Genomic DNA, 26,504 nt, shown 5'->3' on the forward strand with positions numbered 1-26,504 from the left:
AATTACCATAGTAATTCTAATAAACTTTCCTCAGGTAATGAGGACCAGAGGCATCAGGCTGAACAGTGGCCATTTTATTCTTTCCTTGGTTGTGCCCCAGTGAATCTACTGTGTGTCCTCTACTTTTAATCCAGAAGCTAAAATTGTTCTCTACTAGTTTTTCTCTTAGATTTATATTTAAACTCAGGTTTATAATTAGGTCAACTTTCAAAGAAATTGGGAAGGAGATTTTTACAGTATCCTACAATCTATTGCTGAACAGTAGCCATTTTATTCTTTCCTTGGTTGTGTCCTAGTGAATCTACTGTGTGTCCTCTACTTTTATCCATGAAGCTGAAATTGTGCTCTACTAGTTTTTCTTTTAGATTTATATTTAAACTCAGGTTATAATTAAGTCAACTTTCAAATAAATGGAAAGGGGATTTTTAACAATATCCTACACATTTTTAAACTCCAACCATTTTCATTAATATTATGTTTTCTCACTCTATGAGCAGATTTGCATACATATCCATTGCATGTGCATACATAATTGTGATTGCTTTATGGACATGATTTGGGGTTTCCTTTTCACTTGATAGTATTTCAGAAATACATTTATCGAGGTGTGCATGCTGAGAATAAAAAAAGAAATACATTGAAATACTTATTTCAAATTATCTTCTTGATTATTTTAATGACTGTATGGTATTTAGTATTTCATTGCATAAATACTTTGGCCAGCATGAATCAAAACAGAGGCGTCACTTAGCAACCTCAGCTCACTTTCCTACCAGGGCCTCCCAAGTGACCAGCAACTTTTGTGAGTCATTAATGGTCTAACCCCAACATAGTTTTTTAGAGCTATAAAGTCAAGCTCTTTGGTTGACCCAGAAGTATTTGTCTTGACCAGACTGACTCATGATAACTAAACTTCCAAATGAGTTTAATAATTTAATGTGACACCTATAAACACAAGGCAATTACACTGTAGGGTTCAATAAATACATTTACTTACTTTAGGAAAATGTAGATGACATGGGTTACTATGTGATTCTCTGGAATTTCATTGATCATTATTCAACTGGAAGACAAAGTTTTACTTAATGGATGTTGTTAAATCCAATGTCTTCATTTAACTACAGACGTATAATTTCTAAGTGACCTATATACCCAAGGTCTTTGCTAGCCCACTTTCTGTCCTTAGCATTGCTGTAAACAAAGCTGTACTTTCTTAATTACCTTCCAAAGCCTCTATGCAGACCATGTCAATTCTCTTAACCAATATTTTCAACCAATATGAACTAGATGCTGAGGGAACTAAAAGTCATTAAGGTGATGCTTTTGTCCCCAAATAACATAAAATGCTGATAACAGGGAAATAAATATAAAGCAAATTACAATATATTCCATACGTTGTTATAAGGATATGACAACAGTCTCAGGGATTGAGGCTGGGACTTCTCAGTGGAGACAGAGTTACTTTAGGCTAGAGAAATGATGAAGATTCTGTTATGTGGGGATATGCTAAACAGAAGGAAAGGAGAGAGAATAGAAGAGACGCAACAACAAATATGGTTTAGTTGGAGAAAAATGCATGTGTATGGTTAGAGAATAATGTGGGGACAAAATATGGAAAGAGAAAGCTTGAGGCCAGATTGTGAGTGCTCTTGAATGCCATGCAAAGGACCTGGAATAAATATCTTTTTATATGTAGCTTTCTTCTTTGAAGATAATACTTTGAGATAGATTCCAGGAAACTTTTTTCACTTAAAGATATATTAAAAACTGAAAGCACAGAGATCTATTAGTTCCTTGGGAAAGTTTATATTCATTTTTTTAAGTATTGGTAAAAATAAATGTTTATACCCTTGATTTTTAAAGCTCTGTAGATAACCTGTTTGTGGAAGAAAACAGTTTTACCTGCTGGTTTATTCTGCTCATTAAGAAATCCCATCATTTTTACTGATAAATTAGACCCTCCCATGTATGTCCTGGATTGTAGATAGAAAAGAGTGAGAAAAGAGGTTCAAATACCTGGGTATATCTCCTAGGAAGAAACTTATTTAACCTCACAATGGAAGGATTCACTTTTCCTATTGTAATTCTTACAGATTGATGGGCTGTGTTCTCACTAATGCATGTTGTCTGGATCTGGCTTCTGTTATTTTGAATAACCCAAACCTGAGGAGCCTGGACCTTGGGAACAACGATTTGCAGGATGATGGAGTGAAAATTCTGTGTGATGCTTTGAGATATCCAAACTGTAACATTCAGAGGCTCGGGTGAGTTCATAGTTTTCCATTAGGAAAATGATGCCTATTTGGTAGCTAGTATAGCTAGAAGATATTTAGTGTATGGAGAGAGGATAAAAACTAAATGGGGCTAGAAGGTAAGTTACTCTCAGAAATAAGAATCTAAATTTCAAATAAATGGATCAATGTACTGCATGTTCTTTAGTATAGAAGCCATATTTCACATTTCTTTGTGTCCCCTTTAGTACCTTGGACAGATACTTAGTACGCAAATGGTACCTGGTTTGGGTCTTCATGTTCTGTCATCCTTCAGATAGTCTACTTGTCTTTGAATTAATTTTTTTATTAAATTGAAGACTTTTACTAATTATCTTCTATCTGTAAAATACTATGTTCTTAAGGAGCTTGTAATAAAATCACATTCTGTGTTGTGGACATTTCTTACGTTCAATTCTGTGTTTAGATTTTTATTTAATTTTGAACTGATATTGGCTAGTACATTTTCACTTATACAACATGAATTATTGACCTCAGGGTCAAGAATTGTGCTCTATGTGTGGGAAGCTCAGACATAATGACATGTGTCATCCTTTAGAAATTTAACAGTCTTCCAGAGAAATCTCCCCTGACTCTTCCAAGAAAATGAAGCTGTTATATTTCCATTGACTATATATTTTTATAATAGCAATGATGATGATGTAACTGTTAGGTCTGAGATTTAATTTTATCCTACTTACAACCTAATAAATTCACCGGTTACTGTTTCATGGATGCTGGACAAAAAACAAAACCAAACCCACAAGACTCTTAGGAGAGACAAAGGACTTTATTGCTTGTAGCAGAGCAAGAGCATGAGTATTAGCATGTTTGCGTCAGTTCCTTTTGTCCCCCGAGTCTCACAGGGCTGATGAAGAGGGTCCAGATGGATGCCTGCACATGCAACATTGAGACTGAGAGACCTAGGATTTTACAGGAGGCAGTAATAAGCCTGCTGTTTGTCCCTCAAGGTTGCTCATTACAAACACAATCCTGGAAAATGGCCCAGGTAAAGCGCTGTCAGGGCCTTGCATTTTTGTTAGCAAACATGTAGCAGAGAGAAAGACCTATGGAAGAATATCTCCCCAAAATATCTACCCCTTGTTTCTACACAGTAAAATCTTGGCTTCTGGTGAATTTTCACATAAATATGCTACTCCATTGGCCACTCTGATTAACAGAGACTGGGACCAAATCTGTTCAGTTAATCTCATCTACCATTTAATTAAGGCCACTAATAACAAAACTCCAAGCATGTGATGAGCCCAACTTGTAGTATTGATTTCAAACATTCCCACAGGGGTCTGACTCAGTCAACTGAGTAAGTCCCAGGAAGGACTACTAGGTCTTTTATGCTTTAGAACCCATACAAGGGAGTCTAAAATGAGCTGCCATTCTTTGGTGTCACTGGCAATAAATAAACAAAGATGGGCCAAAAGCAGCCCTCCTCCCCAGTAAAGAGACAGTTAGCAGTCCACTCTTCCCCACATGCAAACATGTAACTGAAAGGGGTAGAGGTCACTCTAATTTTGGATTTGCTGTTATATTTTATTTGGTTAGCCATTGCACTAGTTTGGTTAAGCCAGGTAAGCAGTCTCACTGGTAGTTGTAGCTTCCTCATTCTCATACGTGGTATAGTCCAAGGCTGTTCTAGCATCAAGAGAAGCTTGCAGATTTGTATCGAATTGAAACAAGGTTGTGCTAGTGATTGTGTTTGTATACATATGATAAGATTCCACATTAGGAGGTTGCTATTGATGGCATCAGGCACAGCAAAGTAGTTCAGGACCTGCTATGTCTACATGAGATTTTCTATTTTCATAGTATATAGACAGGCATGACAAACCAGGCCGAGGGTCAGTCTGTCAGCTGCAGTTGCTGCTTAGACTCCACAGACCACATAATTATTTTGCCAGGCCAAGGTGTTGGATCTAGGAGAAAAAAGAGAGAGTGAATTGTTCTCCTCACTCTCCACACCTCCAGGTTCTAAAGTGTTCCATTCCAAATATTGTTGCTGCTCTTCCCCTACACCAATGAAATCAGTTTGTGCCATCCCAGTGGCTAGAACTTCACCTATTCTCCAATTATCCTTTACTTGCATGGAGACCTTTGGTCTGGAGGAATCATACAAATGGGAGAGAGAGAAAAGCATCTTTACAATATTTACAGAAACCCATTATATCTTATACATTATATACCAATTCTATATTATCTGAATATCAAAGGCAAATTAGGAAGCTTTGGAGCCTCTAATCTACCTTTTAAAAATATATGTAGCTGTAAAGTTCAATTTTATAATTTTCCTATATACTCTTTTTTTTTCCAGCAAAAAGTATTGAAATTTTTATCCCCTCTGCTTGGTAGGGACATCTTTGTTATAAACCACATTTTCATTGGTGCGTGGATCTGTTCCTGGGTTCTGTTTTCCTTTCCACTGACCTGTTTGTAATTCCCAGTTCTAACAATGCTGTCTTAATTAATATAGCTCTATGATAAGCCCTGATACGCACTACAGCAATTCTTCCCATCTTCTTAAAGAGAATTTTGGCTCTCCTTCCCCTTTACATTTGCAAATAAATTGGAAATATCAACTTATCAAGTTACATACATATGTACTGCCCCCCAACCTACCTATATGTTGGCGTATTGAATCGAATTGCATTAAATCTATCAGTGAGTCTCCTGATACACCAAAAAGACATATCTCATTTATTTAGGTCTATCAATAAAGCTTAGTAATTTTTTCTTGAGTGGTCTTGTATTTTGTTACTGGTTAACTTTATTCCAAAGTGCTTACTATATTTCATGCTGTTGTAAATGATTGTTTTAGTTATTTTTTCATTGTGTTTATACATAGAAACATAGGAGTTTTTAAAGTTGGTTTCTTATCCAATAGCCTGCCACATTCTCTTGCTTATTCTAGTTGCTAATTTGTAGATACTTTTGTATTTTTTAGGTATACAATCACATCATTTGGGAATAATACAATGTAGTTGTTTTTTCCTTTTCTGTTCTTATATTCTTTTTTCATTTTTTATATGCCTTAGTAACTGTTAATATATGTGATATAATGTTAATATGTCTGGGGATAATGAACTTTCATATGTTGTTCACAATGTTTGAAGCACAACTTCAGTGGTTCACCAATTTATCAATTTAAGGAAATTGCCTTCTACACCTAGTTTTCTAGGAGTATTCTTTTTCTTTTTTTTAATTATACTTTAAGTTCTGGGATACATGTGCAGAATGTGCAGGTTTGTTACATAGGTATACACGTGCCACGGTGGTTTGCTGCACCCATCAACCCATCATCTATATTAAGTTTTTCTCCTAATGCTATCCCTCTGCTAGCCCCCATCCCCCAACAGGCCCTGGTATGTGATGTTCCCCTCTGTGTGTCCATGTGTTCTCATTGTTCAACTCCCACTTACAAGTGAGAATATGGGATGTTGGATTTTCTGTTCTTGTGTTAGTTTGCTGAGAATGATGGTTTCCAGCTTCATCCATGTCCCTGCAAAGGACATGAACTCATCCTTTTTTATGGCTGCATAGTATTCCATGGTGTATATGTGCCACATTTTCTTTATCCAGTCTATCATTGATTGGCATTTGGGTTGGTTCTAAGCTTTTGATATTGCAAATGGTGCTGCAATAAACATACATGTGCATGTGTCTTTATAGTAGAATGATTTCTTATCCTTTGGGTGTATACCCAGTAATGTGATTGCTGGATCAAATGTTATTTCTGATTCTAGATCCTTGAGGTATCGCCACACTGTCTTCCACAATGGTTGAACAAATTTACACTCTCACCAACAGTGTAAAAGTGTTCCTGTTTCTCCACATCCTCTCCAGCATCTGTTGTTTCTTGACTTTTTAATGATCACCATTCTAACTGGCATGAGATGGTATCTCACTGTGGTTTTGATTTGCATTTCTCTAATGGCCAGTGATGATGAGCTTTTTTTCATATGTTTGTTGGCCACATAAATGTCTTCTTTTGAGAAGTGTCTGTTCATATCCTTTGCCCACTTTTTGATGGGGTTGTTTTTTTCTTGTCAATTTGTTTAAATTCAGATTCTGAATATTTGTCAGATGGATAGATTGCAAACTTTCTCCCATTATGCAGGTTGCCTGTTCACTCTGATGACAGTTTCTTTTGCTGTACAGAAGCTCTTTAGTTTAATTAGATCCCATTTGTCAATTTTGGGTTTTGTTGCCATTGCTTTTGGTGTTTTAGTCATGAAGTCTTTGTCCATGCGTATGTCCTGAATGGTATTGCCTAGGTTTTCTTGCAGGGTTTTGATGGTTTTAGGTCTTATGTTTAAGTCTTTAATCCATCTTGAATTAATTTTGTGTAAGGAAGGTATAATGCGTAAGGAAGGGGTCCAGTTTCAGTTTTCTGCATATGGCTAGCCAGTTTTCCCAACACCATTTATTAAATAGGGAATCCTTTCCCTATTGCTTGTTACTGTCAGGTTTGTCAAAGGTCAAGTGGTTGTAGGTGTGTGGTGATATTTCTGAGGCTTTTGCTCTGTTCCATTGGTCTATATATCTGTTTTGGTACCAGTACCATGCTGTTTTGGTTACTGTAGTCTTGTAGTACAGTTTGAAGTCAGGTAGCATGATGGCTCCAGCTTTGTTCTTTTTGCTTAAGATTGTCTTGACTATACGGGCTCTTTTTTGGTTCCACATGAAATTTAAAGTAGTTTTTTCTAATTCTGTAAAGAAAGTCAATAGTAGCTTGATGGGGATAGCATTGAACCTATAAATTACTTTGAGCAGTATGGCCATTTTCATGATACTGATTCTTCCTATCCATGAGCATGGAATATTTTTCCATTTGTTTGTGTCCTCTGTTATTTCCTTGAGCAGTGGTTTGTAGTTCTCCTTGAAGAGGTCCTTCACATTCCTTGTAAGTTGTATTCCTAGGTATTTTATTCTCTTTGTAGCAATTGTGAATGGGAGTTCACTCATGATTTGGCTCTTTGTCTGTTATTGGTGTATATGAATGCTTGTGATTTTTGCACATTGATTTTGTATCCTGAGACTTTGCTGAAGTTGCTTATCCTTGAAGAATTTTGCCAAATGTGATGAATCACATCGATATAATATGCATTATATCAACCTTGCATTTTTTGGAGTAAAACCAACTTGGACATATCTCCTGTGTACATTGTGTAATTTACTTTGTTAATGTTAATATTAGTGACAGCATTTAACCATTTTGTTCATAATGGAGATAGGTTATAATTTCTTTTGCAGTCTTCATCAAGTTTTTGTGTCAGAATTACAGTATTTTGATGAGTTCAGGAGTGTTTCTTATCTTTTAGTTTCCTGAGAAGATTTTTGTAAGATTGGAATTATTTCTTCTTTGAACTTTGTAACAATTTCTGGTGAAGCTGTCTAACCTGGAGTTTCTTTGTATGTAGGATTTTTGACTTCTGATTCAATTTTTTAAATAATTATTTAGGTTTTCTCTTTCTCATAGGGTACTTTTTAGTAAGTATATATTGTTGATTTTATCTATTTCATCTAAATTTTAAAACTTATTGGCAAGCATCTAGTATTTTATTATTTGCTTAACTTCTTAATCATCTATAGTGATGTGTTTTTTCTCATTTCTGATATTGAATTTGACCATTTCTTTATTTTTTATTCAAAGAACACAACATTGATCCACTCTGTTGTACATCTACATTCTATTTCATTAATTTCTGTTTTTATCTTATTTTTCTTCTTGTACTTTTGTTGGGTTTATTTTACCATTTACTAAATTCTTGAGTTGTATGCTTAGACATACATATTCCCTTTCTTCTTCTCCAACAAAGATATTTAAGGTTACAACTTCCCTTCAAATGACTGCGTTAACTTAATCATAAAATTTTGATGTTGTATGCAGTGTTTTTGTTATTTTTGAGTCCACAATATTTGTAAACTTCCCTAGAACTTTTTTCTTCAACTAATAGGTTATTTGTAAACATACTCCTTAATTTTCAAGCATGAGGCTTTTCTTTTTATATTCAGTCTGTAGAATTGTTGTCTGAGAACATACTGTGCATGAGTACAGTTCTTTGAAGTTTGTTGTCATTTGCTACATGACTTTTTAAACATACTTAAGAACACAAAAAATTGTTATTTCTAATTTAATTTATATTTTTTCTAAGTACGGGGTCTTTTTCTTTCACCCAGGCTGGAGTGCAGTGATGTGATCATAGCTCACTGTAGACTTCAATCACCTAGGCAACCAAGCCTCCCAGCCTCACGAGTAGCTAGGACTACAGGTGTGCACTACCATGTCTGGCTATTTTTTTCTTCTTTTCTGGTAGAGATGAGGTCTTGTTCTGTTACCCAAGCTGGTCTTGAATTCCTGGCCTCAAGCTACTCTGTTCTCTTAGCCTCCCAAAGTGCTGGTATTACAGGTGCCAGCTACTGTGCCTGGGCAGTGGCAGTATTCTGTATCAGTTAATTAAGATTATTAGTTCTGTTTATCTAAATTTTAGTGATTTTTTTCCAGATAACTCAGTTACTGTGAAAAATGTTAAAATTTTCATTAAAATTCTAGATTTGAGTCTTTGCAGTTCTGTTCGTTTCTGTCTTCTATATTTTGAGACTATAATTTGTGACTGAAAATATAAAATGATTATATTTCCTGATGAATTCATGATAACACTTTGTTTTACGATGCTTTTTCCCCTAAGGAAGATTTTGTGTGATATTTACATACCCTGTCTCATAATTAGTGGGACTATCTCTTCATCACATAAATGTGATCACTTAACAAAAAAAAAGTTTTGTATGCTCAGCATCTATATAGGTACTCAGTTGTTCAATGGCCAGGTAAACATAAGGTGAAAATTAGATTCAAATTGTTTAGGAGAATGTTAGATGCAGAAGGCTGAGTTTGACATACTTCCTCAGTTCACGTATATACTATTATCGGCTTGTGCAGAGGCCCTTGGCTGACAGATGGGTGGGTTGGCTAATTTATCTCCATTAGCCATTCTCTTTCCCACCTATAGGCAGCTGACCTAATGTATTCGAAATAGGCCATGTAATTGCATTTTTATTTGCATCAATGGCATGATGCTAGAGACCTTATTATATTTCTTGCTTATTTTATTTTATTTTTTTTGAGACGGAGTCTTGCTCTATAGCTCAGGCTGGAATGCAGTGGTGCGATCTCAGCTCACTGCAACCTCTGCCTCCTGGGTTCAAGCAATTCTCCTCCCTCAGCCTCCCAAGCAGCTGGGATTACAGGCGCTTACCACTACCCCCAGCTAATTTTTGTATCTTTAGTAGAGACAAGGTTTCACCATGTTGGCCTGGTTGGTCTCGAACTCCTAACCTCAGATGATCTGCCCACCTCAGCCTCCCAAAGTTCTGGGATTACAGGCATGAGCCACCATGCCTGGCCTATTCCTTGCTTTTTAAACACTCACTACCAAGCTTCCAATATCTAGTTATAGTGATGTATTTTTAGTGATGTTCAAGGATTCAACTGCTTCATAGTATTTTGTAACGTGCTTGCATATTTTATTTATTCCTTAATAATTACGAATTTGTAATTCATGATTTTGGAAGGGATAAGTTCAGCCTAGAAATATCTGGTAATAATGAATATTATAGGTACTTATAGTCCTTGAATTTATACTAACTGTGCTCATTTTTTAAAGTTTCTGGAATTATCCTCCATTCTGAGTTCACAGATCTCTTGTGGGCTTTGTTGTGTCATCGAATAAATTCATTTTTATCTTTTGTCTCTCTTCTCTACAGGTTGGAATACTGTGGTTTGACATCTCTCTGCTGTCAAGATCTCTCCTCTGCTCTTATCTGCAACAAAAGACTGATAAAAATGAATCTGACACAGAATACCTTAGGATATGAAGGAATTGTGAAGTTATATAAAGTCTTGAAGTCTCCTAAGTGTAAACTACAAGTTCTAGGGTAAGTCTCCATTGGCTTCTCAGGGGGAGCATTTCCTATAATGAGGGATTTGGGGAGCCACTCATTAATACAGGCCTCAGAATCCACCTAATTGTGTATCATTGGGTATTTTCTAGACACTTATTTGTTTTTCTGTCATAGAACACTGAATATTGAGAGATACAATATAGCATAGTGGTTAAATATTGAGCACCCTGGAACCAGCCTAGATGAGCTTGAATTCTGACCCTACCACTTACTAAATGTTTAATTAAGGCTAGTCCCCCATCACTCTTTGTTTTGATTTGCTTATGAGTAAAATGGGTGAAATGATAAAATCTACCCATAAGGTTATCATGAGGATCTGAGTCAATATAGGCTAAGTACTTAGAATGGTGCCTTGCATGATAATAAACAATAAATATGTTCTCTGTTTTTATTATTATCAGTAGTAATATTAATTTTGCTTGGATAGCAAAAGGCTCTTGGAGGATCCTTTTTAATTTTAATTGGTTTCTCTTTCTCTTCTGTTAATTTATTCTGTCTTCCTTCCACTACTTTATCTCCCTCACTGTATCTCTCTCAGTTCGCTTCCCCACTCCTCACCCATGTTATAATATTATCTCTCTATTTTAACAGAACAGTTTTTTTTCTCCTGAAATAAATCCTTTACAGAGAAAGTGGAGGGCTGTAGGGAAATTGAATGCAGGAAAAGAGATGTTCCCTTGTTTTCTCAGGTTGTGCAAAGAGGCATTTGATGAGGAAGCCCAGAAGCTGCTGGAAGCTGTGGGAGTTAGCAATCCACACTTAATCATTAAGCCAGATTGTAACTATCATAATGAAGAAGATGTGTCTTGGTGGTGGTGTTTCTGATTTGAAGAAACTGACATTCCTTTAAAAATATAAATATAAATACATACATACATAGATATATACCCAGACTTGGGTGCTTAGCTTCAGATACTCTATGCCCAGAGATAGTGCACTTGGCAGCTGTCAGATACCATTCATCTACTTCTCTGTAAAATGTCTGTTCTACTTCACACAGTGGTCGAGAGGCTAAAATAAAATGAAAAGCATAAAACTCTCTGAAAAGTATGTTTTTAATTGGATACAGAGCTTAAGAATGCAGGTAAGGGAAGCCTGGATATGAGGCTGGAGGATGCAGACAGGGAAGATCAGTTAAAATGCCTTGTTTTTTCCTTACTTCCACTGACATGGCTTAGTTCACAGCCCTGCTATCTCTGGCACGTTTTATTAAAATGTGTCTCCATATGTGTTCTTGGGATCACCAGTGTCAAGATCACTTGGGTATCCGTCTTAAAATGGAGATTCCTGAACCCCACACTAGACTTACCAAATCAGAATGTCTGCTACCAGCTAGCAACCAGCATTTTTGAGAATTTCCCAGGCAAATTCTTAAGTATACTAATAGTTGAGAGTCACTAGTTTCAATAGAAATGGGAGTCTACTTCTACAATGAATACTTTCTATAGCTTATTGTAAAGATAAGGAGGATTAATTTCCTTTAAGGGAATATAAGGTTATTTGGGCTAGAGCTAGAAACAGATTCTTTCATTTGGCAAGAGCGTGACACAATAAATTTTGTGTGTGTGTGTGAAAGACTGTTCTGGTTATTTATTGATCGTGTAACAAACTATCCCAAAACTTGGTGGCTTAAAACAATAATGATTTTATTAAATCTCATAACTTGGATTGGAATTCAGAAAGGGCCCAGCTGAGCATTTCTTATACTCCACATGGTATTACTTGGGGTCCCTTGGTGGTATTCACCTGGCAGCCAGATTGCTCTGGAGGCCCCAGATAACTTGGACACGTCTGCTGCCTTGGCAGGGATGGCTGAAAGGCTGGGATGAGCCAGACCCCTTTTCCTGTTATCAGCCGGAAGTCTAGTGATTCTCAGCAATTTTGATCCTTGCCCCCTCAGAGGAAAGAATTCAACTGAGAGGCAGAAGTAGGTTTAAAGCAGAGGCAAAGTTTATTAAAGAAAGCAAAGTACACTTGGAAGAAATCAAGCAGGCCACCTGAGAGATTCAAGTGTCTCTCTTGATCCTTGGTTTGAGACTTTATACATTGACTCATCTTCCAGGCTCTTCTCCCCTGTTGATCCCTCCCTTGGGCGGGTTGTTGCTTGATTACCTGTGTGCAGTGGCCTGTCACCACTTGTGAGAGGCCCCGTGCACGGTGTGTTTACTGAAGTTGTATGCATGCTCCCTTGGGATGATTTTTTCTTACTGGTTGAGCTCCCCCAGAGGAAGGTCATATACAGGTCAAAGTCCACCATCTTGCTCCCCTTTGCACACAGTTGAAACTTTATCAGGGATTGTGGTTTGCTGACTCCAGGTGTTTTCTATCTGTTGGAGGAGTCCTTTCCTTCCTGGTGGCAGTTGTGGCCACTTATTGTCTCAGAGAGATAGTTTTATGCTCACCTGTCCTTCACCTGATGAGAGCCAGACTTCTCTGGGGGCCCTCCCTTGTCCTGTTCATTATCTCAGAGGAAAAGGTTTACGAGTGCTTGACTATGGCTCAAGAATTGCTTGGCATTCCTGGGGGCCCTCTCTCCTGCCCTGCTCTCATATCTGTCTAACTACCTACTCTAACATTGCTTGTAGTCTTAGGGCCTCTCCATGTGGTTTCTGCAGTGTGGGGATTCAGGATTTGAAAGGGCCAAGAGGAAGCTGCCATTTATCTTAAAAGCTAGGCCCAGAACTGGCATAAAGTCACTTCCATAATCCTCCATTAGTGAAAATAGTACAGGCCAGCTCAGATTCTGGGAGAATCAATTGTTGATGGGAGTAGTGTCAAAGAATTTGTGGCCTTCCTTAGTTCACCACAAACTTAATGTTTTTCTCCTTGTCTGTGGGAGAAAATAAAGCCTTTTAACTTATTGTAAGGCAAAAACCAACACTTTTTCTTTGATAAGACTGTCAATTCCCATGCAGTTCTGGTCACCAAAATGTGTGGGTTTTTACCACACCAAGCAATTTTCCAACACCAGCTGGGTGTCCTATAATTCAATTCTATTCTGATATTATCATCCTGGAGGTAGCATTGTATCCCACAGGTGAGGATCTCAGTCCCACAAGACTCTCCCCTATTTGAAGTACCAATTGCAAGTTCCAGGTTGTGACCTGTTCTTCTGACAAACTGGCCATAAGTCAGGGTTCCCACAACTCTCTTTTCCCTGGGTTCCATAATTTGCTAGGATGGCTCACAGAACTCAGGGAAGTACTTTGCTTATGTTTACCCATTTATTATAAGAGAATATTTCAAATGATACAAATGAACAGCCATATGAAAGAGACACATAGGGTGAGGTTCGGAAGGTTCTATCCCTGTGCATTTGGCTTGTGCTACCTTCTAAGCACATGGATGTGTTTAGCAACCAGGGAGCTCTCTGAATCCCATCTTTTTGTGGAAGCTTCATTAGGTAGGCATGATTGATTAAGTCACTGGCCATTGTCATAAACTCAACCTTCAGCATCCCCTTGCTTCTTTGGAGGTCGGGATGGGGAGTGCTGAAAATTCCAACCCTTTAATCACATGGTTGGTTCTCCTAGCAACCAGCCCCCATCCTGAAACTATCCAGGAGCCTCCAACTACCAGCCATCTCATTAGCATACAAAAACACTTACTGCTTCAAATATTCACAAAGTTTTAGGACCTGTGTGCCTTGAAAGGGGCCAGGAAATCACACTCGTATAATATCCCCTGAGTCAATGTGGAGGACTGGAGAATAGACCTTGGCAGTCAGAGGGGGCAAATGGTTTTCGTGAAAATTTGCAAGTAATGTTACTGGTGCTGATATCCACACAAAACAGTAATACTGCTGCTCACATTTGGCATAGGTGATACATAGAGAGGTGGCTTTACTGAGGTTGATTCCCAGTGAGGACAGTCTTGCTAGTTAGAGGAATCTAACTGGGGCTATTATAACAAACACAGAAAAGAAAGTATACACCAAAGTGGTGACACCTCTTTCACATGATAGCCTTGGGCTGCAGTCATCGTCTCATCCTTCACAGACAACAGGATTTCCAAGCTGCCCAAGGAAAACTCCAACAAAGGTAAATGTTTCTTAAGATAATTTCTACCAGACTGTCAGAAAAAGGAAAATTCTTATATTTCTGAAACCATTTCAGAGCATTATAGAGGAAGACAGCTTTTCTAATTCATTTTTTAAAGATGAAAACTATTGATAATAGAACCTGACAACCAAAATGAGTGATTGAGGCATAAGTCTCAAATCATCAGGATTTATTGAGCCAGCTTGAGAATGCATCTAGGAAAAATAGGGGTCACAGGTGCATCTGTGGCTGTTTTTTCTGTAGCGGATCTGAAGAGGTTTAGTATTTATACATTTTCCTTTAAAAAGGGGACGTGTCAGTGAAATTAATGATTATATAGTTTTCAGACTTTAGTGCCCAGTAAATCTACATTTTATATAAGGTGAACATTTGAAGAAAAAAGGAATAAAGTAAGCAGATGTCTCAGGAGTGAAGGAATAATTAATCTTTGTCTTTTTGGTGCACCTGGGGAAGATAAGCTAGTTGTTGACATTATTGGTGTGGAGCCTTTTGAAAGGGCTGGTTTCTGTTTAGCCTGTAGGGAAGAAAGCCTAAGGGTAGTTAACTAAGGGGAGGGAGTAATGTGGTGTGTCTGACCTCCCGTCTCTCCTGACATGAATGGGAACTCAGCTTCCAAGGTTTTTCCAGGGTTCCGTTGGCCAACTGGGGATCCATTCAGTCAGTTGGGGACTTTGGATTTTATTATTTCTCAAGCCTAATAGCACTATCACGAAATTTAAAGATGAATGTCACTTATGACTATGCAAAGACCTAGTATTAAAATTTTTGAAAATTTCAACATTTAATTAAAATATACTATGATTATTGTGACTTAGAAGTGCAAGAGTGGGCTGATAGGAGGAATATTATAATTTATCACATTAATTGGATGATGCAGAAAAACCAATTATCTCAATTTACATTGAAAAGGCGTTTAATAAAATTCAGTCTCTTTGTGAGGTAGTTTTATAACATGATGAGGAATGTTTATCTTAAACTGATAGCAATACGCTTAGAAGCATTAGCATTTAAATATTAAAAACATGCCTGGTGGTATAACTGAGCCTATATTACAAAAATCATTATGTGTTCATTTTACTTATTATTTGTCTTTGTTCTTTTCTTCCTCCATGCAAGTAAGCATGGAGTATACAGTCATTTTGAGGGAATATAGTCACTAGTAATTGTTTAACTTCATATCCTAAATTCTGGGGCAACCTGCAGAATTAATGAACTCATTTTTCTTTTAAAGAACAATGATCCTTAGGTCATGCAGACCTCCTTGATGGCACCCAGAAGTTTGATCACCCTAGAGATGCAGATAGCTTTGATCATCGGGGATCTCCCCTCCTGCATGTCTACCTTATTCATAAAAGCCCACAGTTATGTTCGAAGGCAGGTCAAATTTGAGAGCTCATCTCTCCTGCCCTCTCACTTTAGCCAAATTGAATAAACTTTTATCTGCTCCTAAGGGATGATGTGTCAGTGTTTCACTTACTGCACATCAGATATATGAACCTAAATTTTGGGGTTCTACAACAGTGTCACTGCTGTGGAACAGTGGTGATGGTTAGAATAAGTCAAATGAAAATTTTGATATTTTGATCATTATGGATATTTTTGCACTAACTTTTGTCTCTAAAAATAGTATTTATCTTGGTTACTAAGTTTTTTTGTATCTCCTTAAATTTTGTGCATCAGGCAAGTCACTCCCCTCATGCTAAACTCAGCTCTGGGGAAGAAAGGGTTTGCAATTTTAAATAGAGTCAAGTCAGATTGTCAAAAAAGCAAATAGAGTCTTCAAAACTAACTTTAGTTTTTTTTATTCTTTATGTTTTATCGTTTTCTTTTTAATTTTTTTGTGAATTTTTATTGCATTATTTCTGCTATCTTTAAATTTATTCTGTTAGTATGCTAACTTCTTAAGTTGGATTCTTCTGATTCCCAGCCTTCTCTCTTTTATTATAAGCATTAAGGCTATGCATTTCCCTTTGCATACCTGATCCTCTCTGGCCACTCAGCTCCTCTTCCTCCTCCTTACAGAGCTGGCTCTGGATGATCCCTTAACCTGCAGTTGAAATATCGCCTCCTCAGAGAGGTTGAGCACTCTATCTTATATATCATCATCTCCCCCTCCCCTTTCCTACCAAAGCACCGTGTTTCTTTTTTTTTTCTACCACTATCACAGATATGTATTTATTTTATTTCCCATCGCTTGTCTCCCTCATCACAATGTAAGTTCTATGAGAACAGAAACCATGAGCCTTTTCTTCACTATTTTATTTCCAGCCTACAGCACAGTGTCTTCTTGCACATGTGGGCTATGATTCAAGAGTGAATGAATGAATGAATAAAAATTGATGAATGAATGAAGAATGAATAGAAGCAAAAGCATCCTACTCTTCCAGGGAACACTTGTATTATTTTCCAACTTCCCAGCAACTCGGTGAAGATAGGTGATCTTGTTATCATGGGAAGCCCCGCAGACTCCAGCAGAAGTCACTGCCCGAAACACCTAGCTCTCTGGAGACTCCCTAGAATCGCATCCGGTGGGAGTCCCGGGATTCTATCCCAGGGTGCCCCACGTTTCTGGTTGTCTTTTTACATTTCTTTAATTGGGTGTGACGAATCAGCTCTCAGGCCCTGACCTTCCGCTCCTCCTCCTGTGTCCCTGAGCCAGACGCCCTCGGAACTCGGCGTGGGGCGCCTGGTAGGGGCGTGGGTGCGGCTGGAAAGGAGGTGACCCCAATTCTGGTCTCCATCACCAGAGAAAGCAGGACCCTGGACAGCGCCGAGAGCCCACAACGGCTAGCATTCCTTCCTTTAGTTCTGAGTTCTTTGCCCGCAGGGGGCAATTTCGCCAATCTGGGCCGAGGTCCCAATCTCTGAAGCCACTCTCCTAAAGACAGAAATGGATTCCAGAAAAGTGGATGCTTACCATTCATTGAAGTAACATAAATATATGTGAATTAAAAGTCAGCCACTCTTTTGGTTCATGCTGTTTGAATAAATGAGGGTGTATTAGTCCGTTTTCAGGCTGCAGATGAAGACATACCTGAGACTGAGCAATTTACAAAAGAAAGAGGTTTAATGGACTTACAGTTCCATGTGGCTGGGGAAGCCTCACAATCATGGCAGAAGGTGAAAGGCACGTCTCACGTGGCTATAGAAAAGAAAAGAGAGTTTGTGCAGGGAAACTCCTCTTTTTAAAACCATCGGATCTCATGAGACTTATTCACTATCATGAGAACAGCATGGGAGAGACCTGACTACATGATTCAGTTACCTCCCACTGGGTGCCTCCCACAACATGTGAGAATTCAAGATGAGATTTGGGTGGGGACACAGCCAAACCATATCAGAGGGGGTTCCCAGTAGTCAAATTTATAGAGACAGAAGAATGGTAGTTGCCAGGGTCTGGAGGTGGGGTGGGGGGGACCCTGGGGTTGTTTAATGGGTATAGAGTTTCAGTTTTGCAAGACAAAGAGTTCTAGAGTGTTTGCACAACAATGTGAATGTACTTAACACTACTGGAATATACACCTAAAAATGACTAAGATGGAAAATTTTATGTGCATTTTTACCATAATTTAAAAAATAAATTGGATGAAATTAAGTTTAAAAATTGAATTAGGCTGGGTGCGGTGGCTCATGCCTGTAATCCTAGCACTTTGGGAGGCCAAGACGGGTGGATCACGAGGTCAGGAGATCAAGACCATCCTGGCTAACATGGCAAAACCCCGTCTGTACTAAAAATACAAAAAATTAGCCGGGCATGATGGCGGGCACCTGTAGTCCCAGCTACTCAGGAGGCTGAGGCAGGAGAATGGCTTGAACCTGGGAGGTGGAGCTTGCAGTGAGCCCAGATAGCACCACTGCACTCCAGCCTGGACGAAAGAGCGAGACTCTGTCTCAAAAAAAAAAAAAAAAAAAAAAAAACAAAAAAATTGAATTAGATTAAATTACATTTTAAAGAAATTAGAGGGCTGGGCATGGTGGCTCACACCTGTAATCCCAGCACTTTGGGAGGCCGAGGCGAGTGGATCACCTGAGGTCAGGTGTTTGAGACCACCCTGGCTAACATGGTGAAACCCCGTCTCTACTAAAAATACAAAAGAGCCGGGCATGGTGGTGGGTGCTTGCAATCCCAGCTACTTGGGAGGCTGAAGCAGGAGAATTGCTTGAACCCGGGAGGCAGAGGCTGCAGTGAGCCAAGATCGCACCATTGCACTCCAGCCTGGGTGACAAGAGTGACACTCCGTCTCAAAAAAAAAATTGATTAAATCTTTTAAAAACAAGGAGGTATCCAAATTGGGAGTCTCCCTCCCTACTACTGAAGAATTGTGGGATAGTATAGAGCCATGGGGTTGCTCCACATGTCTGGACCATTGAACCAGAACTCAATCCCTGAAGATAGCAGGAACAAAGTAAGGGTCCCAGGCCACAGGCACTTCGTTCTGCTGCAGGGAAGTTTCCCTGACCTTTCTAGTTGGAAAGAGTCTCATATAATTGTCTTAGGGAATTATACCCTGAGGAGATAGGGATTTGCAAGACAATTCTTTGCATTCTCCAACTCTTCCTTGTCAGGACATAGCCCTGTGCAGATTTTCTGGGGGGCCAGAGGAAGAAGATGATTCCTTTTTCTCTTTCTCTATGGTGGATACGTTTATCTTCTTCATCTTGGAGCTTCTCCGCCCCCTAAATTCCCATCTAGAGTTACCTGTTCCAGTTACTCTCTTGGAGGATATGGAGGCCAATGTAGCCAGTAAGATACTCTGTAGAGAATGCCCCCTCTTTGCCTGTTTCTCATTCCTTTGGTGTACTCTTCTTTGTTCACCAATATTCACACCTTCACTCGTCATTCAGATCTACCACAATTCTCTGCCATTAGTTGTAAAAGGAATAAAAAGTAATCGTTCTTTATCTGGTCACGTAGAGAACAGTGTATAAACACATATTCATCAATTGTATTTTTGCAATTTCGGGTATTATAAGTATACATTAAAATATTACTTAATAATTTTTCAAAATAAGTAGTCTAGACCATGGGTGTTAGAATTTTTGAAGACCATATATGTTAGAACCTCTTCATTGCAGTTGGCTTGTGTTGGAAACAAATGCTTGGTGCCACAAAGAAGAACTAGCACTGAGACAAAAGACAAAGGGTCTCTCAGCAAGGCAAATTTACTTCTGCAGAAGGGTGCATCTCACGTATGGAGCAAGGGCAAGAGCACATAGAACAAAGGAAAGCAGGGGTTTTTATTATCTCTAATGCAGCTTCTGCTTCTGTGTCTTTCCCCCATTGGCTAGGGTTGGACCCCACAATCTAAGCTGAACCCGATTGGCTAACTTGAAAAGTGCAGGAATGCGGTTACACTGGCGGGAAGGCAGGAAGATCAGTGTCAGTGGGAGAAGCCATTGCGATAGGAGGGGTAATTGACAGCATGGGTAGCAGATGTGGAATGTGGGCTGTATAGATAAGGACTGGCGGGAAGGTTGTTTACCAGGGCAGGGGGAACACAGAGAGTAAGGAAGTCTGGCTTTGAAAGCAGAGAACAAAGGACAAGGAAACTTCAGCAAGCTAAACCTTTGAAGAAGAATTTCTTACGTATTTAACAACTTGGCAACTGTTTAGGTATCCTGGGGACCCCATTTGCAGCTGGCATCTGAAGTGAGGGCAGCCTTATTGGGACTAAGCCCTTAAAGTGTGGGTCTGCACTAATTCCTGGTACTTAGTGTCAGAATAGAATTGTAGGACACATGGTTGGTGTCAGAAAATTAAGAATTGTTGTTGGAAAATGATATACTATCTATCCTTGATTACTACAGTAGTCTCCTAGCCAACTTGGGGGTTCCTACGATGCCCTCAGATTCAATAATTCATTACAACCATTCACAGAACTCAAGAAAGTACTATACATTTTGTCGTGACCAATGCAAGATTAGAAATAACCAGGTCCATGCATGTTTGTGTCTTTCCACAATGTCAGGCTTTTATTGATGCTATTTCAATCACAAATGCCACCTGGAGTTCCCACAGAAACAATTCTCCATAGTACTTCCTGTTTACTCCCTAGCCAGAGCTATGGTCACACAGGTTCAAGCCACTCCACAAGTCAGTCAATATGACATATCATACATAGCAGTGTGCTTAACCAATATTCAAATGTTATATGTTAAACATTCCACAAAAGCAAAATAATATTTATCACCAAGGGGAAAAAGAGATAGCGTAAGACTTAAAGAAAGAGGAAAGAAACACGAAACACGGCTTGGCAGTCAAAGACAGGTTTTCTTTAGTTAAAACATGAGAGGTGCTCCTGGCCGATTGTGGTCAGGATCACTTTCTCTTACAGACTAAAAGTATATATTGGTTTTAGGGTGAGGGGGCTTATCACAAGCTTGGAATGTTTATGTGTGTGGGGAGAAGTTTATGGTGGGGTTGGAATCTCTCAGTTAGGAGGGGAGGTTGTCTTGGGACAGAAATCTTTCTGGCCCAGAGCGGAGTTATCTCGAGGCTGGCATCTTCCTGGCCGGAGGGGTCTTATCTAGGGGCCAGCATGTCTTTGGTTAGGGAGGAGTTTGAAATGTTTCTGGTTGGAGATGTTATTTGTGGTTTATGGTCATGCTGACCTTAGCCATTAGGCTGATGCCCTTTGGATTTAGGTGGTTTTTTTTATTAAGGTGAACTTTAGAATTAGGGCCTTGTCCCAAATGGTGATGCTCCTGCTCTGTCAGATAGGAGAAACGGTTAATGAATCAGTCCAGGGAAAGTGAAGAAGACAGAATCCTGGTCTGAGCCAAGTGGTCTAGGTGGTCTGTTGGTCTTGCAAGGCAGAGTCTTTGACTGCAAGATAGTATCACCCAAGATGGGCATTTTGAGCTGCTGAAAGGCTAATCTTTTATAGTCACAGAGTCCTCTGATGAGAACTGATAGTGGAAGAGTTCTTGTTTGTGTCTTTATGTGATTGGATGCCATCTTTTTTTTTTAATTTGTTTATTAAACAAAACATCTTATCCTTGTTGGCAAAGTATCCTATGAAATATAAAGAGGAGTCTTTTTCTAAGATGGAGTTAGTTATGTCAAGGGTGCTCTATACACTTGTGATTACAGTTTATTATAAAGGATAGGAAGGAACATCCAGATGAGGAGGTACATAAGGCAAGGAAGGGGGAAAAGTGTACAGTTTCCATGCCCTCTGTGGCATGCCACCCTCCCAGCACATCCATGTGTTTATCAATTCAAAAATTCCCTAAATCCCACTGCTTGGAGTTTTTATATGAGATCTCATTATATAGACGTGACTGATTAAATGATTGGCCATCAGTGATTAAACACAACCTCTAGTGCCTCTCCTGTCTCTGGAAGTCAGGGTGGGAGGTAGGGCTAAATTTCTGACCCTCCATTCACAGAGTTTGTTTCTCTGGTGAACAGCCCCCACCCTACAGTAATCTAGGGCCCCCACCATGAATCACATCATTAGCATAAACTCAGGCATGGTCAAAGGGGCTCTTTATGGATAACAAAAGACAGTCCTACCACTCAGGAGTCTCCAAGGATTTTAGAAGGTCTGTACCAGGAACCAGGACAAGAACCAAATATATATATTTTTGTTACATCACAGGATACCCCTTGGTCTTTGACCATGAATTCTTTATAGCAAAAGGATCATCTGTCTGAGCAACATTTTGAGGAAGGAGTGTGGTATAGGAATAGGAGGCTTTTAACTCATTTTTTTTCCAATTCATTTGACTATCGATATTGGTATTATATTTTTTACCAACAATGCAAGTGTAAAACAATATTACATTATGGTAGATGTAACTAAAAAATAAAGTCGAAAGATGCTGGCATATTACTAGAGTCCCATTCAGTTCTTAATAATTAGTTCAGTCTATTATCATATTTCATGAAAATGTCTCCTGGGATGAGGCCACTCCAGTTTGCAGGCTTTCATTTGATCCTGCCTAGTTCCAATAGCAGGAGCGGTGTCAGCAATAGATGGTTTCACCCTTCGAGGCATGAGATATAACTGAGTAAAAGATAATAACATCTTTTGCTCTGAGCCTCTTTCAAGGTGTTAAAGTACTATTGAGTTTCCGTCATTACAGAACCCATTTATTTGTTGCATTATCCTCATCTACTATTTCTCCTTCTCTCCATTTATACAAATTTTTCCACCTTTGGAAGGGACATTAGGTTCAGCCACTGTGCTGGTCTAATTGCAGGCAGCAATACTAATCTAGCAAGTACCTCTCCATCAGCCCACTACCATTCACATAGGGAGCGTTACATAGTTATAGAAATGGGCTATTTTTACCATTAGACATTATAATTGTGTTCACGGTCAATCCCAGTATTTCTAGATGAGGTGAAGGCACAATCTGACCCATCAGGCCTGTAGGAATTCTGACATAAAGTTTAGAATAGAGCTATACTTTATTGTTTAGGAATCATCACTGCCTTCAGCACTTGCAGTTGCAGCCTTGAGCCTGTGACCATGAAGTAGGAAAAACAAAGTTGAAGTGGCACGGGGAAGAAAGAAGAAAGTATAGTCATCAGTCATCTTCCCTGTGGGAGAAATTGCATAGTCATACCAGCATCTTCTCCCACTCCCTATCCTGCTGATCTACCAGAAAACCAGGAATCTATCTAGGAGATGCTTGTCTCCTTGTTGTTGAGTGTGAGCACACATTTGCAAAGGCATGTAAGCCAGCTCTTCATGCTTTTATATTCTCCCATTTTAGGCAACCAGTGTTTCAAATGCCCATTCCAATTCTCTACTGAATTATTATATTACTCTGAGGAAAATATCTCTCTGCCAATTCTTGAAATTATAGATTGTGAGAGGTGTTCCTCGGTCTGATGAAATGTTACTTGGTAGTCCAAATTGATGCAATATCTTCTATTCCGATTCTTTGACAGTTCTCTGAATATTTGCATCTATCACATGGTAAGGAAAGCCAAGTCCAGTGTCTATTCCCATCAAGACCCTCTCATAGCCAGCATCAGTCCCACCTACCAGCTTGTTCAGGGTCTTCTCCCAGGGACTGTTGACACACAGCCATCTGCAGTGTCTGTCTCTTATTTTTGGAAGGCAAAACAGTTTTTAGTGGTATTTTGTGCTTCAGAGGTGCAAGAGGAATATGTCTAGAGTTCATCCATCTTTACATTGCTGCAGGCCCCCAGTGTCCACTCATTTCATGGACCCAGGTGGCTACTTCAAGCAAGCATACTGGGATATCTACTGGTCAATTGCAGTCACCTGCTGAACCTACAAATGGATTCTTCTGTTGGGTACCAATGTGTTCTACCTTAATGCACTCCTCCCCAAATTCTCTTACTGATTTTCCTATGGGTATGCCTTTAATAGGCAGTTTTACATTGCTCTCTGTCTGGCCACATGGTCAGGCCATTGGTCACCATCCACAAAGCAGTAAAATCTCAAGTGGGGGATTTTTGTCTTTGTTCAATTCTTCCATCACTATAAGGAAAATAGCACATAATGTTGCCCATCAAACTGGTTTGTTTTTTATGTTCTTCAAACATAGAGGTGGCCTTCCAAATAGGATGCTGTCCATTCACTTTGAAACTGCTATTTATAAACCAAACAACTTTCTGCTAGTCATTTGAGAACTATTCACAGGGTACTATCCATAGTATAGAATTTGGCACCTCCTCACAATATTCCAAAGTCAGTCCTGGGGAAAAGAGTCTACCTGCTCCTCCAGTAGTGTATTCCTATTTTGACATAAGAAATATGTTTTGTTTCTGCTCGCAGTTACTGACACAGGTCTTAAAACCTTTGGAACTTCCTGGGAGATAGGAGTACGCTTTGTTTTATTGAGGTGACTCTTGGCGGGCTACTGGATAGCTTTGGGATGGCTGCTGGTCACCAGAAATACCAAGCCATGATTAGAGGTGGAGAATTTTCAGCCTCACACCCCGTCCTCCAGGGAGGGGAAATGGACTAGAGATTGACTTAATCAATTGTGTCTATGTCATGAAGCCTCCATAACAATCCCGAAAAGGCTGGCTTTGGAGAGCTTCCAGGTTGGTGAACACATTCACCTGCTAGAAGGGTGGCTCACTCCAGCTTCATGGGTCAGAAGCCCCTACACTCCAGACCCTTCCAGACCTTGACCTATGTATATCTTCATCTGTTGTTCATCTGTATCTTTTATCATAATCTTTATAATAAGCCGGAAATGTGTTTTCCAGATTTCTGTGAGATATCATAGTAAATTATCAAACCCAAGGAGAGGGTTGTGGGAATCCCCAATTTGTAGCCAAGTCGGATAAGCAGTGTAGGTCATCTGGGGATCCACTTCTTGTGACTGGTGTCTGAAGTTGGGGGTAATCTTGTAGAAATAAGCCCTTTGAGGTCTGCAATACTTCAGGTAGTTAGTGTCAAAATTGAATTATAGGACACCCAGTTGGTGTCCAGGAGCTGGAGAATTGGTTGGTGAGGGGAAAAACTCTGTGTTTCAATAAAATTTAAACTGTGGTAAAATACATATAACTGTGTTCACCATCTTAACCAGTTTGGTAGCATTAAGTATATTCATATTTACTGTGGTAAAATACATGTAACATGGTGTTCACCATCTTAACCAGTTTGGTAGTATTAAGTATATTCATATTTACTGTGGTAAAATACATATAACATGGTGTTCACCATCTTAACCTGTCTGGTAGTGTTAGGTTTATTCGTATTTACTGTGGTAAAATACATACAACATTGTGTTCACCATCTTAGCCAGTTTAGTAGTGTTAAGTGTATTCATACTGTTGTGTAACCAATCCCCAGAACTTTTTCATCCTGCAAAGCTGAAACTCTGTACTCATTAAGCAACAGCTGTTCATTTTCCCCTCCTAGCCCCTGGCAACTACATTCTACTTTCTGTCTCTATGAATTTAACTAGACACCTCATATAAGTAAAATCATACAGTATTAGTCTTTTTGTGACTGGTTTATTTCACCTAGCATAATGTCCTTAAGGTTCATCCATGTTGTAGTATATGTCAGAATTTCCTTCCCTAAGGCTAAATAATATTTTATTATGTGTATATAGAATAGTTTCTCAGTATTTACGGGGAATTGGTTCCAGGACCACCAAGGATACCACTAAGTCCCTGATATAAAATTATGTAGTATTTGCATATAACCTGTACATATTCTCTCATATACTTTAAATCATCTTTGGATTACTGATAATACCTAATACAATGTAAATGCTACAGAAATAGTTTTTATAAGGTATTGTTTATGAAATAGTGACAAGAAAATGAAGTCTGTACATGTTCAGTACATACACAGTGTTTTGTGAAATATTTTTGATCCTCTGGTGGCTGAATCCATAAATGTAGAACCCACAGATATGGAGGGCTGACTATGCTACATTTTTAAATTAATTAATCTGTCAATGGACACTTGCATTGCTCCCACTTCTTGGCTGTTGTGAATACTGTTGCTATGTGGGTGGGTGTACAAATATCTAAGAACCTACTTTCAAATCTTTTGGTTATATATCCAGAAATAGTGTTGTTGAATCCTATGGTAATTCTATTCCTAATTTTTTGAAGAACTGTCATACTGTTTTTAATAGTGGCTGTACCATTTTATATTCCCACTAGCACTACACAGGGGTTCCAATTTCTCCACATCCTTACCAACACTTATTCTTTTTGTGCTTTTGACAATAACTATCCTAATTGATATAAGATAATAAGATTATTACATTTTCTTCAGTCATGGGGAAGTTTCAATTAATGTCCGAGATTGAGCTAGTAATTGACTCAGATGTAAATTCTCCACTTCAAAGTACCTGTAGTTGTTGCTGGAAGGCCCTCCAGGCTTTTGCCACAAGCCCTAATCTACCCTCCACACAGGTCCACTATGCACAGAATTTGTGCATCCTAGCACTTCAGGTTTTATTCTATACTGTGTGGGCTTCAACAATCTTGTTCATTTCTATTTAGCAAATATAATTAATATTGCTTAAAGGCAGAATTTATATGCCTTGTGTTTTATAGCACTAGGTAGGGAAACATTCCCCAGTCAGACACAATATCCATTCCCAGAATACATTCAGGTAAAAGAGACACAATCATTTCACATAAAGCCTGTGTAAGCCCTCCAATTTTTGCCCAAACTTTGATCTTGATCCTATCATTTTTTGCAGAGCAGAGACCCTGTTTCAGGGGCCTCTGCAACCC

General features: G+C 38.9%; 1 protein-coding gene across 3 annotated transcripts in view, besides 3 other annotated features; it reads left to right on the forward strand.

The window, feature by feature from the left end:
• The window catches only part of NLRP14 (NLR family pyrin domain containing 14), a 70,455-nt gene that overhangs the window by 39,794 nt on the left and 4,157 nt on the right, over nucleotides 1-26,504 (forward strand). The window contains exons 10-12 of one of the 3 annotated variants that reach the window (NM_176822.4): nucleotides 2,094-2,264; nucleotides 10,047-10,217; nucleotides 10,934-11,287. In NM_176822.4, coding sequence (NP_789792.1) covers nucleotides 2,094-2,264; nucleotides 10,047-10,217; nucleotides 10,934-11,069 — 478 coding nt within the window. In that variant the 3' untranslated portion in view covers nucleotides 11,070-11,287. Of the gene's footprint in view, nucleotides 1-2,093; nucleotides 2,265-10,046; nucleotides 10,218-10,933; nucleotides 11,820-26,504 lie in introns of those variants that run through there. The other 2 variants (XM_047426867.1, XM_011520044.2) reach the window with 2 other exon arrangements.
• Nucleotides 12,379-12,673: an enhancer, noted in NCBI's record as "tiled region #5166; K562 Activating DNase matched - State 8:EnhW". NCBI's record gives its function as "activates a minimal TATA promoter and a strong SV40 promoter by Sharpr-MPRA in K562 cells {active_cell/tissue: K562}" and the evidence as "EXISTENCE:reporter gene assay evidence [ECO:0000049][PMID:27701403]".
• Nucleotides 16,902-17,101: a silencer, noted in NCBI's record as "fragment chr11:7098372-7098571 (GRCh37/hg19 assembly coordinates)". NCBI's record gives its function as "represses an EF-1alpha promoter that drives an FKBP-Casp9 reporter gene in an ReSE screen in phorbol 12-myristate 13-acetate-treated (for megakaryocytic differentiation) K562 erythroleukemia cells {active_cell/tissue: K562(+PMA)}" and the evidence as "EXISTENCE:reporter gene assay evidence [ECO:0000049][PMID:32094911]".
• Nucleotides 19,519-19,813: an enhancer, noted in NCBI's record as "tiled region #4980; HepG2 Activating non-DNase unmatched - State 24:Quies, and K562 Activating DNase matched - State 8:EnhW". NCBI's record gives its function as "activates a minimal TATA promoter and a strong SV40 promoter by Sharpr-MPRA in HepG2 and K562 cells {active_cell/tissue: HepG2 | K562}" and the evidence as "EXISTENCE:reporter gene assay evidence [ECO:0000049][PMID:27701403]".

This window comes from Homo sapiens, chromosome 11 (assembly GCF_000001405.40).
Source record: "Homo sapiens chromosome 11, GRCh38.p14 Primary Assembly".
NCBI lineage: Eukaryota > Metazoa > Chordata > Mammalia > Primates > Hominidae > Homo > Homo sapiens.